This window comes from Homo sapiens, chromosome 13, assembly GCF_000001405.40.
Source record: "Homo sapiens chromosome 13, GRCh38.p14 Primary Assembly".
NCBI lineage: Eukaryota > Metazoa > Chordata > Mammalia > Primates > Hominidae > Homo > Homo sapiens.
In genome coordinates this window covers 100,037,679-100,052,137 of record NC_000013.11, presented here as the reverse complement: position 1 = coordinate 100,052,137, position 14,459 = coordinate 100,037,679, and positions in this window count along the sequence as shown.

Sequence of the window (14,459 nt, the reverse complement as noted above, 5' to 3'; positions counted from 1 at the left end):
TCCTGACCTCGTGATCCACCCGCCTCGGCCTCCCAAAGTGCTAGGATTACAGGCGTGAGCCACTGCGCCCGGCCCTACCTCTTTTGAATGGATCAGTATTTCACCAAAGTATCTGACAGGTAGTAAAACGGATTGATATATACCCATATATACACACAGAGAGGCTAATAAACATTGAAATGCCCCAAGCAATAGTAAGTCCACAAGGCCTACTCTTGTATGTAAGTAACAATATGGCAGTTTGACTTACTATATTTGACTAAATTCTTAGCTTGACTAAATAATACATACATACACATATCATACAACATATGTAATTTTGTTTTTCAAGGCATCAAGGAGCAATCTCAGCTTCAAATCTCTGATTTGAAATCACTTCAAATCTCTGATAAACACACTCTGCTTTGCCCTGTTGTAAAAGAAACTATAAACCAAAAAGAAAATCCTAACCTTCCCCAACCTACTGAATGGAGCTCCTATGGGCCAATGGGACCCCAGAGAAAGCTGAAAAACTGAATTTCTGGCCATGATGGGAAGGGGGGTCCAAAACACCTCGTTATCCCCTCTCCCTTTTGGAGGTGAGGTACAACTGACCAGCATTAACATTGAAACAGAGATCATGAGACAGAACAGACTCTTTGTGGCAATAAGATACCAAATTTCAACCTGACTCTGGTATAGCATCACATGACAGATAGCAGATCCTGAAGAAAATAAAAATATTTTACCTCAAAATAGATTTATTTGACATATTTTGAAATGGCCCTGCAAAGTCATCTTTCATGGGGGAAATTTGCATCTGTAGAGAATCTCCGTTAATGCAGCCAGGGCTTTCCCAGATCTAGGAGAGATTAGAGTCTGACACCTTTTAAGGTGTGAAAAGAAACATTTACCATTTATTCTCGCCAAAGGAAGAGCCTGGAGGCTTCATCTAAATAAAAACATTGGCTTCCACAAGCCGCTTTATCTTAACTCAAGCATTTCTTTCTACTGACTTCAAGCCTTTAGACAAAGCTTAATTCTTTCTACCAACTGCCAGTTAGATAATCTTTGAATCCACCTGTGACTTCTAAGATCCCCTGAACCCTTTCTCCCAACCCCCATCATCCCCAACCCCCCACTTTGAGATGTCCTGCCATTATGGGCCAAATTAATGTATACCCTTACATATATTGATTTATGTCTTTGCCTGTAACTTCTTTCTCCCTAAAATGTATAAAACTAAATTGTAACCCAACCACTTTGGGTGCACTTTCTCAGTGGTGCAGGATTTTTTGCTCCTTAGCTCAGCTAATCCAGGATCTTGTTTTATGATCAGGGAGAATTAGGTACACAGACACATGGAAGGGTGAGGAGGGTGGAATTTATTAAACGAAAGGAAAACTCTCAGCAAAGAGAGGGGGTCTTGCAAGCAGGTTTCCACCTCACAAATTGAATACCATGACTACCACACAGGAGCTGAAGAGGCCAGGCTCCTCCCCTGCATAAGGTGTGAATTCCTGGTGGCTCCACCCCATTCCCCCAGTGCATGTGGGCCTCCAGTAGGCTGCGGGCATGCCCAAACAAGCGCCCTGTGCAGGTTCCCTTATTTACAGGAAACATATGGTGTAAACACTTGCTGGGGGGTGGGGGGGCGGCAGGCACAGTGGTTCACACCTGTAATCCCAGCATTTTGGGAGGCTGAGGTGGGCGGATCACTTGAGGCCAGGAGTTTGAGACCACACCCTGGGCAACATGGTGAAAACTCATCTCTATCAAAAAATACAAAAATTAGCCGGTTGCGGTGCATGTGCCTGTTGTCTCAGCTACTGCGGAGGCTGTGGCAGGAGGATTGCTTGAACCTGGTAGGCGGAGGTTGCAGTGAGCCGACATCATGCACTGCACTCCAGCCTGGGTGATAGAGACCCTGTCTCAAAAAAACAAAACAAAACAAACAAAAAAACACTTGTGGGGCATGTCAGAGATTCTCTGGGTCCCTTCCTTATCTGCCCAGGCCTTTGGCTGCCTCCTGCCTCTATCAACAGGACTTCTGGAGACCATTCCCCAGGCCATGGTCATTTGTATTGGCTCAGAATAATCCTCTTTGAATATTTTACAGAGTTTGCGTTTTTTTCGTTAACGATATACATACTCTGTCACCAATACAATATAAAAGCTGGATAAGACACACCAATCTGAACCACTTTCTAACGCGATGCAGTCCTCTATTTAATATAAAAACAAAATCCATTGTGTGACCTTCCTTGACTCTACCTCAAATTCACTACCTTGTCTGCATCACACATCTGGTAAAGAGTGAAATTATAACTTTTTTTTTTGAGATGGAGTTTCACTGTTCTTGCCCAGGCTGGAGTGCAATGGTGCGATCCTGGCTCACTGCAACCTCCACTTCCCAGGTTCAAGTGAATCTCCTGCCTTAGCCTCCCAAGTAGCTGGGATTAGAGGCACATGCCACCATGCCCAGCTAATTTTTGTCTTTTTAGTAGAGATGGGGTTTCGCCACGTTGGCCAGGCTGGTCTCGAATTCCTGACCTCAGGTGATCTGCCCACCTCCCAAAGTGCTGGGATTACAGGTGTGAGCCACCCTGCCTGGCTGGAATTAGAACCAGTAACCATTATAATTACAGGTCTCAGTGATAAAGCTTTAGAAAGGCAGTGATGTTAAGACACTTTCCACTCATCCCTCAGGCCCACACTTTACTCTTCTAATATTTCAACTGGTGTTCCCCTTAGAATAAGCAAATAAATAGATATTTTCCCTTGTAACTCAGGTTCCCTTAAGAGATTAAAAGAAGTTTATTATCCATGATAATTTTAGATATTATAAGAGTTCAGGGTCAAAGGAAATATTATATCTCCCTCAACTGCTTATTAATACTTACGAGATACTGAAGTAGTTTGGATATTCATCCCCACCCGAATCTCATGTTGAATTGTAATCCCCAATGCTGGAGGTGGGGCCTGGTGGGAGGTGTTTGGATAATGGGAGAGGATTCCTCGTGGCTTGGTGCTGTCTTTGTGATAGTGAGTGAGTTATTGTGATCTGGTCATTTAAAAGTGTGCGGCACCTCCCTGCCTCCCCTTGCTTCTGCTCTGGTCATGTGACATGTCTGCTCCCACTTCACCTTCCTCCATGAGTGAAAGTTTCCTGAGACCTCCCCAGAAGCCAAGCAAAGGCTGGAACCATGCTTCCTGTACAGCCTGCAGACCATGAGCCAATTAAACCCCTTTTCTTTATAAATTACCCAGTCCCAGGTATTTCTTCATAGCAATGCAAGAATGACCTAACACAAGTATCTTTCATTCTACTATTAGAAATAAAGAGAAACGGGGGTCTTCTGTTTCTGACCATGATCAAATAGCTTGGATTGGACTAACCTCCCACAGAACAATTGTAAAGACTACCCAACAGGCCGGGCATGGTGGCTCATGCCTGTAATCCCGGCACCTTGGGAGGCCGAGGTGGGCGGATCAACTGCGGTCAGGAGTTTGAGACCAGCCTGGTCAACATGGCGAAACCCCGTCTCTACTAAAAAAATACAAAAATTAGTCAGGCGTGGTGGTGTGTGCCTACAATCCCAGCTACTCTACTCAGGAGGCTGAGGCAGGAGAACAGCTATAACCCAGGAGGTAGAGGTTGCAGTGAGCCAAGATCATGCCACTGTACTCCAGCCTGGGCAACAGAGTGAGACTCTGTCTCAAAAAAAAAAAAAAAAAAAAAAAAAGAACTACACATCATACTTAAATTGATTGTGTGGCCAAACTGTTGGTGCCCCACTTAGATCTCCTTAGGTCCCTTTTCCCAGTCCCATGTACTCACTTGTCAGCAACTATAGCAAATACTTTGTTGCTAATAATTTACACTTGCAATCTTTAGAGTATGCATTCTCAACAGGGGCAATAATTGATTCTTGGGGAGCAAAAAGTGTATAAAGGTTTTTTTTTTTTTTTTTTTTTTTTGAGGCTGAGTTCTGCTGTGTCGCCCAGACAGGAACACAGTGGCACGATCTTGGTTCACTGCAACCTCTGCTTCCCGGGTTTAAGCGATTCTCCTGCCTCAGCCTGTGGAGTAGCTGGGATTACAGGCGTGCAACACTAGGCCCAGTTAATTTTTTGTATTTTTAGTAGAGACGGGGTTTTACCATGTTGGCCAGGCTAGTCTCAAACTCCTGACCTCAGGTGATCCACCCGCTTCAGCCTCCCAAAGTGTTGGGATTATAGGCATGAGTCACTGCACCTGGCCTAAGTTATTTTATGTATAAAAAGCGTTTACTCTTTTTATGTATAAACCCAAATAAAAATATAATACATAAACAGGTACACAGTAGGCCGGGCAGGGTGGCTCATGCCTGTAATCCCAGCACTTTGGGAGACTGAGGCAGGAGGATCACCTGAGGTTGGGAGTTCGAGACCAGCCTGACCAACATGGAGAAACCCCATCTCTGATAAAAAATACAAAATTAGCTGGCTGTGGTGGCACATGCCTGTAATCCCAGCTACTCAGGAGGCTGAAGCAGGAGAATCGCTTAAACCCGGGAGGCGGAGGTTGTGGTGAGCCAAGATCACACCATTGCACTCCAGCCTGGACAGCAACAGCAAAACTCTGTCTCAAAACAAAAAACAAAACCAAAAAAACGGATACACAGTATATTTGTGGTAATCAAATTACATGGCGGGGTGAACGGAAAAAAAATGCCAGGCTGCACATGGTGGCTCATGTCTGTAATACCAGCACTCTGGGAGGCCAAGGTGGGAGGACTGCTTGAGTCTAGGAGTTTGAGACCAGCCTTGGCAACATGGCAAAACCCTGTCTCTACAAAAAATACAAAAATTAGCTGGGCACAGTGGGTCACACCTATAGTCCCAGCCACTTAGGAGACACGCAGGAGGGTCATTTGAGCCCAGGGGGCAGAGGTTGCAGTGAGCCAAGATCAAGCCATTGCACTCCAGCCTAAGTGACAGAGCAAAATCCTATCTCAAAAAAAAAAAAAAAAAGTTTTGGCAAGAATATGAAGAAATTGGAACCCTCATGCATTGTTGGTAGGAGTGTAAAATGGTGCAGCCACTGTAAGAAAACAGCTTAGAAGTGCCTCAAAAAGGTAAATAGAATATAATTACCGTATCATCTAGAAATTCCACATCTAGGACAAAATGGTAAATTTAATGTTATATATATTTTGCCACAATTTAAAAAAGCAAATTTCTTTTTCTTTTTTTTGAGACAGAATCTCACTCTGTCACCCAGGCTGGAGTGCAGTGGGCACGATCTCTGCTTACTGTGACCTCCGTCTCTCAGGTTCAAGTGATTCTCCTGCCTCAGCCTCCCGAGTAGCTGGGATTACAGGCATGCAACACCATGCATGGCTAATTTTCGTATCTTTTAGTAGAGACAGGGTTTCACCATGCTGGCCAGACTGGTCTCAAACTCTTCACCTCAGGTGATCCACCCACCTCCACCTCCCAAAGTGCTGGGATTACAGGTGTGAGCCACTGCACCCGGCCAAAAAAAAAAAAGCAAAGTTCTAAACAGTATTCTACCTCTTGTGTTAGAAACAGATACATAAGACTACAGGCCGGGCCTGGTGGCTCACGCCTGTAATCCCAGTACTTTGGGAGGCCAAGGCGGGTAGATCACCTGAGGTCAGGAGTTCAAGACCAGCCTGGCTAACATGGTGAAACCCTGTCTCTACTAAAAATACAAAATTAGCCAAGCGTAGTGGCACATGCCTGTAATCCCAGCTTTTTGTGAGGCTGAGGCAGGAGAATCATTTGAACCCAGAAGGCAGAGGTTGCAGTATGCCAAGATCACACCACTGCACTCCAGCCTGGGCAACAAGAGTGAAACTCTGTCTAAAAAAAAAAAAACAAAAAAACTATATATTCATATTTCCTTGTATTTGCCTAAAGAAATATTAGAACAACAAACATTAAACATGTAAGGTTTACCTGTAAGAGGAGAAGTACAATTGGGTGGATGGATACAGATGTGAGGAGATTTCTCATAATGCATACTTTTCATATCATTTTTATTTTGGGTCATGTAATGCACTATGAATAAATTCTTCAAACAAGTAAATAAATACAATTTATCCAGATATGTTTTTACTCTGCCCCTCAATGAATACTCAAGGAGTGGCATGACTTTTCAGATCATTCTTACGTGATTAAAAGTCTCGTAGTTAGTTTGATTCACAAACGTAGTCTCAATTTCATTTTAAATAAAAATGTTTGATCCCATAAAATAATGCGCTGCAAAGTTAATTGAAGGTAGATCTTGTCCTCTCCCACGGATGGGGTCTGCAGTGGGGTAAGCCCGTTAGTGCCAGAAGGGAACACGGTCCTTTCTCCCCTCAAGCTGCTACCCTGCCTACTGTGATTTTACTAACCTCTCTTTCTGACCTGGCCTTCTCCACACAGAGGAGGACAGCAATGTTCTTATTCTACCCATAAGGTCATGAGATGGTTTCATGCTTTCTGGGCTTGCAGAAATTGAAAGCTGACTCTTTCTCTTTTGGAGTCCTTTATAGCAGAGGTCCCCAACCCCTGGGTGGCAGACTGCTCTCTGTCAGTGGCCCGTTAGGAACCAGGCCACACAGCAGGAGGTGAGCAGAAGGCAGGAGAGCATTACCTCCTGAGCTTCACCTTCTGTCAGATCAGCAGCAGCATTAGATTCTCATAGGAGTGCAAACACTATTGTGACCTACACATGTGAGTGATCTAGGTTGTGTGCTACCTATGAGAATCTAATGCCTGACGATCTGCGGTGGAACAGTTTCATCCTGAAATCATCCCCCCACCCCTCACCCACCCCATCCATGGAAAAATCGTCTCCAAAAAGGTTGGAGACCACTGCTTTATAGGTTCTTAGGAGATGTCTCCCACAAATCATCGTCAGACTCTCACCTGCAGTTCCCTTGAACAGAAAAAAATGCACTCTATTTCAAGGACCTTATTCATTCCTAACCACTAGGAATTCAGTGAGTTTCTGCCAGCTTCTCCCCTGCTAGGCCTGTTCACCCTTTCAGTGGCCTTTGAGTCAGATTATGAAATGGCCCGAAACAGGCTGTCTTTTCATGGGACAGATGTTGCACTCCAGCCTAGGTGACATTTTTATTTAAAATGAAATTGAGACTATGTTTGTGATTCAAACCAACTATGGGACTTTTAATTAAGTAAGAATTCCCATGACATCTGGTTCATGGGAAACACTTAAGCACTCGTTGCCTAACAAACTCTGGAATAACAGGCTAATTCCAATCTACTAGTAACTCTCCTCTGTTCCACCTCCAAGCTGCAAGGCAGCCCTTCTCTCTCTTTTTTTTAAGGCAGAGTTTTGCCCTGTCGCCCAGGCTGGAGTGACCTTAGCTCACTGCAACCTCTGCCTCCTGGGTTCAAGTCATTATCCTGCCTCAGCCTCCCGAGTAGCTGGGATTACAAGCAGCCGCTACCACACCTGGCTAACTTTTGTATTTTTAGTAGAGACGAGGTTTCACCATGTTGGCCAGGCTGGTCTCGAACTCCTGACCTCATGATCCACCCACCTTGGCCTCCCAAAGTGCTGGGATTACAGCCTTTCTCTTAATGTCAAGATTTCCTCCATCCTGGCTAACATGGTGAAACCCCGCCTCTACTAAAAAAATACAAAAAATTAGCCAGGCATGGTGGCGGGCACCTGTAGTCCCAGCTACTCGGAGGCTGAGGCAGGAGAACGGCATGAACCCGGGAGGCGGAGCTTGCAGTGAGCCGAGATCACAACACTGCACTCCAGCCTGGGCAACAGAGTGAGACTCCGTCTAAAAAAAAAAAAAAAAAAAAAAAAGATTTCCTGGCCGGGCGCGGTGGCTCACGCTTGTAATCCCAGCACTTTGGGAGGCTGAGGTGGGCGGATCACGAGGTCAGGAGATCGAGACCATCCTGGCTAACACGGTGAAACCCTGTCTCTACTAAAAATACAAAAAAAAATTAGCCGGGCGTGGTGGCGGGCGCCTGTAGTCCCAGCTACTCGGAGAGGCTGAGGCAGGAGAATGGCATAAACCCGGGAGGCGGAGGTTGCAGTGAGCCGAGATCGCGCCACTGCACTCCAGCCTAGGCGACAGAGCGAGACTCTGCCTCAAAAAAAAAAAAAAAAAAAAAAAAAAAAATGTCCCCAGGAGGAATCAGACATTAGTGAACTGTGACCTGATAAATAAATTAAGAGAACACATATTAAGCTTTCCAGTTGGTCTTATTGAAGCCTTTCTCTTTTAACTTCAGATGAGTGGGAAATAAAGTGTCTACTTCTCTACATTAGAGGAGAGTAGGCTTCAAAGCCCATCAGCAGCTCTTGCCAAAGAAAGCCTTGTAAAAAATTCCTCTCTCTTAAGAGTGAAGACACTGCACAACACCTTAGTCAGATTATCAAAATGAATATCAATGATGAGAAACAGACATATTGGTGCACCTAAAAATGTGATACTCTGAGAATATATCATTTATGTAGCATTTTAATTAAGAACACATAACCTGAATATTATCATGAGAAAACTAAAAATGAGAATCATTCTTGTTAAAAAAGAATCAGATATCATTGTCATAAAGGACAAAGAAAAGCTCAGGAACTGTTCCAGACAAGAGACTAAAGAAACAACAACTAGGCCAGGCACAGTGGCTCAGGCCTATAATCCCACCAATTTGGGAGGCCGAGGTGGGCGGATCACCTGAGGTCAGGAGTTGGAGACCAGCCTGACCAACATGGAGAAACCCCACCTCTACTAAAAATACAAAATTAGCCGGGCATGGTGGCACATGCCTGTAATCCCAGCTACTTGGGAGGCTGAGGCAGGAGAATAGCTTGAACCCAGGAGGCGGAGGTTGCCATGAGCTGAGATCGCGCCATTGCACTCCAGCCTGAGCAACAAGAGCGAAACTCTGTCTCAAAAAAAAAAAAAAAAAGAAAAGAAAAAAGAAACATAACAACTAAATGTGATATGGATACTGCAACCTCTAGTGGAGGACAAAACAAATGCTATAAAGAACATTATTTAGGCAGTTGACAAATTGGAATGTGGATGGTAGATTATTTTTAAAAGTATCGTTTCAATGGGAAATTTCCTGACATTGATAACTGTACTGTGACTTTCTAACAGAATGTCCTTTTTCTTAGGAAATATACAAGGAAGTATCTGGAGGCAAAGGGGCGTGATGTATGTAGTTTATTCTTCAATAGTTTAGAAAAAAATATATATATGTTGACAGAGAAAGAATAAATCCCTAACAATAAGCAAATGAAATAAAATGTTAACAGTAAGTAAATCTGGATAAAAGGTAAATAGGTAAGGCTGGGTGTGGTGGCTCACGCCTGTAATCCCAGCACTTTGGGAGGCCAAGGCGAGCGGATCACGAGGTCAGGAAATTGAGACCATCCTGGCTAACACGGTGAAACCCCACCTCTACTAAAAATACAAAAAATTAGCAGGGTGTGGTGGCCAGTGCCTGTAGTCCCAGCTACTCGGGAGGCTGAGGCAGGAGAATGGTGTGAACCCAGGAGGTGGAGCTTGCAGTGAGCCAAGATCATGCCACTGTACTCCAGCCTGGGCCACAGAGCGAGACTCCATCTCAAAAAACAAAAAACAAAAAAAGGTAAATAGGTATTTCTGATATCATTCTTACAACTTTTCTGTAAGTTTGAAATCATTTCCAAATAAAAATGTTTTTATTTAAAAAAAAGTCTGCTCTCTCTCTCTTATTCAAGAATATGATTCATATGTATCCCTGATAAAGGTAAAGGGACCAAGAGTCATACAATAATAATGTCTTCTATTTAACCATTTCAATATGAAAAAAATTATACACAAATAAAAAAGTGTATATTATGAACACACAGCTTAGAAAATAACAAACACCTGTGTACCGAGGATGTAGCTTAGAGAGAGAACATTATCAATACTTTGACACCCTTCCCCCACATCATGCTTTTTCCCAGTCATCATTCCACCCGAGGTAATTACGATCCTGAATTTTATAATAATTGTTCAATCATTTTCTTCAGGGATTTATGACATATATATGTTGAGCTTAACAATGTATAATTTAAATGTGCCTGTTTTACATTTGATACAAACAGAATATTGTTTACTCTTCTGTGACTTACTTTTTCCATTCAATATTACATTTTTTAGATCATTCTTACTAATGAGAACAGCTAAGGCACATTTATTTTCATTGCTAAAAAACAGATCAATGTATGACTATACTGTTATTTATTTATTTATTTATATTATTTATTTTTTTGAGACGGAGTTTCACTCTTGTGGCCAGGCTGGAGTGCGATGGCATGATCTCAGCTCATGGCAACCTCCGCCTCCTGGGTTCAAGCGATTCTTCTGCCTCAGTCTCCCAAGTAGCTGGGATTACAGTCATGTGCCACCACACCCAGCTAGTTTTATATTTTTAGTAGAGACGGGGTTTCTCCATGTTGGTGAGGCTGGTCTCGAATTCCCAACCTCAGGTGATCCGCCTGCCTCGGCCTCCCAAAGTGCTGGGATTACAGGCATGAGCCACCACGCCCGGTCTGATTATACTGTAATTTATTTATCTAGCTTACTATTGATGAACATTTGTGTTGCTTCTGTGTTTCTGTCCTTATTAAACAATGATAGTATTAACATTCTTGCACTTGTCTCTTGAGGAGAATGAGCCTTCTCTAGGTTATGGAAGTTTCTTCATATTCCTAGCTTATTTAGATTGGGCTTTTTTTTTTTTTACTTATTAAGATGATCATATGGTTTTCAATACTTTATCCTCTTAATCTAGTAAATGGCATATATTATTAATAATGACAATAGAATTGATTTTTGAACATTACACTTTACCTTACATTCGTGGGTTGAGTCCAATTTGGTAATGATGTATTTATCATTCTTATTAATCACTAGATTCAATTTGCTTAGATTTTACTTAGGATTTATGAGTGAGATGACCCTATACATTTCTTTTACTATCTTTGTTAGCTTTTGGTGTTGCTCTAAATGAGTCTCTTTCATAACGAATGAGAATTTCAAAGATAGAGAAAAGTTGCTGACAGTGACAATACAAAGGACTCTAGATATTAGAATAATTATTCTGTCTTCTGATTCTCCTTTCCTAATTCTCTCATCCCATTTATAGAGAATAATATTTTTAAATGATATATACTATGCCACATCTCTTTTTTCAATTTTTTATATTTTATAGAAATTGAGCCAATACAGGAAATAATGTAAATGATGATAAATAGAGTTAAATTATTGAGTTATAATTCCTAAAATTATACTTTGGGCCGGGTGTGGTGGTGGGTGCCTGTAATCCCAGCTACTTAGAAGGCTCAGGCACAAGAATCACTTGAACCCGGGAGGCAGAGGTTGCAGTGAGCCGAGATTGTGCCACTGCACTCCAGCCTGGGCGATAGAGCGAGATTCCATGTTAAAAAAAAAAAAAAATTATACTTTGGAAATAAATCATGTTCTATAATTTCCCACTGAAGGGAGTGGTCTCTTCATACCATGTCATGTCAACAGCTGTTTCAAGTTAGAAAGATATGTTAGTGAAAAAGTATGAAAAATAACTCTTAAAATATTAATAGAGAAAAATAAAAATTGAAGTCACAAACCTGGGTATTTTGCTGCTTCCTCTAAAAATGAAACTGTAGTTGATGAATGCATTCATGTGCTAACTCCCTAGTATACAGAGAAAATTAGACTTGAAGTGATTCCGTCTTTGTTAAATGCAAACAAAATTGTTGACTCAGCTCTCAACAGGAAAGGCAATGTCCTTGTCGTGGGAATTCAAAACATAAAAGGAGCAAATGTTGTACAAGCTATCTAGTGACAATTTGAATGAAAATAAGGTAATTAGGTTCTAATCTTCTAAGCTTAGGCATTTACACGCAAAATAAATGTATAAAGTGTTATATCTTACTATATTTTCTTGAAACTCTAGGACATTATTTTCTGAGACTGCTATTTTAAAAGTTATCAAAGCAATGCTAAGTCTCTTGGAGTTAAAGATATACAGTGTAGTTATTTAGGCATTGGTTCTCACACTCTCGGTCCTTCCACATGTCACATGGCTATACGATATTCCCAAGTCATGGATTTTACTGTTTGATCTCTGATTCAGCTCGAAGATATTTCAGGGCTCCAGAAGCTAGGCAGTTCTCTGAATACACTACGTATACATATGAAGCAGCTCAAATGTACAAGTGCTTCCATCAACAATCACTTCAAAGGTCATTAATAACTTACAGGTGTGAGAGTGGAAATGCCCTCTGCACTCTCCTGCCCCTTCCTGAACTCTGGTCACTCTCTCTGGGCCATTTTTGTAATGGTAAATTCTTAACTTGATATTTATTTTTCCCCATTTTCTCTTCTCTGGCTCTGGGGCTATTAAGATGACATTCCAAAATCTTCTAGGAAACACAAAATCGGACCAAAATGCTTAGATGTGTTAATTCTGTTTTTTAATCCTTTCGTGATGTATTTGTTTATTGACAGTAGAGAAAAGCAATTTAAATCCTTACATCGAGAGGACATATATAAAGGAAATGGAAAAACAGAACAGGTGGGTAGTAAAAATCTGCCTGGTTTGAATTATGGGAAGATTTTGATGGACTCTAACATCTGCTTGGTTTCTACTTCTGAAGATAATTTCTAAAACTTTACTAGCATCTCCAAAAAGGCCAATGAACTGCGTGTGAGAAAGAAGCTTAATCCAATGTCTAGATTAAGGTTTCTCACTAGTGGAACTACTGACATTCTGGGCAGGATAATTATTTGCTGTAGGGGGCTGCCCTGTGTACTGGAGGATGTGTAGCAGCATCCCGGGCCTCTACCCACTAGATACCAGTAGCACCCCTACCTCCAAGTTGTGACAACCAAAAATATCTCCAGACATTGCCAAATGTTCACTGAGGGGTAAAACTACCCCCAGTTGAGAAACACTATCACTGAGGGGCAAAACCTCCCCCAGTTGAGAAGCACTAATCTAGATGGAGGTGTCTTCTGATTTTAAGCCTATAAATATGAATCAACTCCACACCAGGACAAGCCAAATAAGACAGTTAAATGCATGTTTAGGAGCCAGGTGCAGCAGCATGCACCTCTAGTCCCAGCTACTCGGGAGGTTAAGGCAGGAGGATTACTTGAGCCCAGAGTTCAAGGCCAGCCTGGGCAACATAGCAAGACCCCCTTCTCTATTAAATAAATAAATAAACGCATGTTTAATCATTGGGTGAAGGAATATTTGTGCAATGCCAAAGTATCACTCCATAGCTTACCTGTAAGTACAAAGGGAAAATGTACCTTTCTGATAGAATTTGCAATTACTACCTTACTGCAAGTGACCACTTAAGTGATCAAACATAGCATCACTAATAATGGGAAAAAATGACTTTATATATTTAACCTGTGTTTAATCAAGTCTCTAGACTCACAATGAATTTATAGAAGAGAAGGGATACAGCAAGTTAAATAACATCATAATGAAACAGACAAACACAGAATGTAGGACATACTATAAGAAAAGCAGCCTGAACTCTTCAAAAAAGAGTTAATGTAGGGCCGGGTGCAGTGGCTCATGCCTATAATCCCAGCACTTTGGGAGGCCGAGGCGGGCAGATCACGAGGTCAAGAGTTCAAGACCAGTCTGGCCAACATGGTGAAACACTGTCTCTACTAAAAATACAAAAATTAGCTGGGCGTGGTGGCATGCATCTGTAATCCCAGCTACTCAGGAGGCTGAGGCAGGAGAATCGCTTATACCCAGCAGGCGGAGGTTGTGGTGAGCCAAGATCACACCACTGCACTCCAGCCTGGGTGACAGAGCAAGACTCCGTCTAAAAAAAAAAAAAAAAAAGAGTTAATATAATAGAAAATAAAAGGTGAGAGACTATTCTAGATCAAAAATTATTAAAGAGATGTAACAATGTGGAAACTTTTATTATATCTTATTATTTAATTTATTTATTTATTTTAATTTTATTTTAGAGATGAGGTCTCACCATGTTGCCCAGGCTCATCTTGAACTCCTGGGCTCAAGTGATCTTTCAATCTTTTTTTAAAAAGCTATAAAAGATACTTGTTGAAACAACTGGGCCGGGCACAGTGGCTCACGCCTGTCATCCCAGCACTTCGGGAGGCCCAGGCGGGCAGATCACGTGAGGTCAGGAGTTCGAGACCAGCCCGGCCAACATGGTGAAACCCATCTCTACCAAAAATACACAAATTAGCCAGGTGTGGTGGCAGATGCCTGTAATCCCAGCTCCTCGGGAGGCTGAGGCAGGAGAATTGCTTGAACCTGCGAGGCAGAGGTTGCAATGAGCCGAGATTGCACCACTGCACTCCAGCCTGGGTGACAGAAGGAGATTTTATCTCTTTTTTTTTTTTTGAAACGGAGTCTCGCCCTGTCGCCCAGGATGGAGTGCAATGGTGCAATCTTGGCTCACT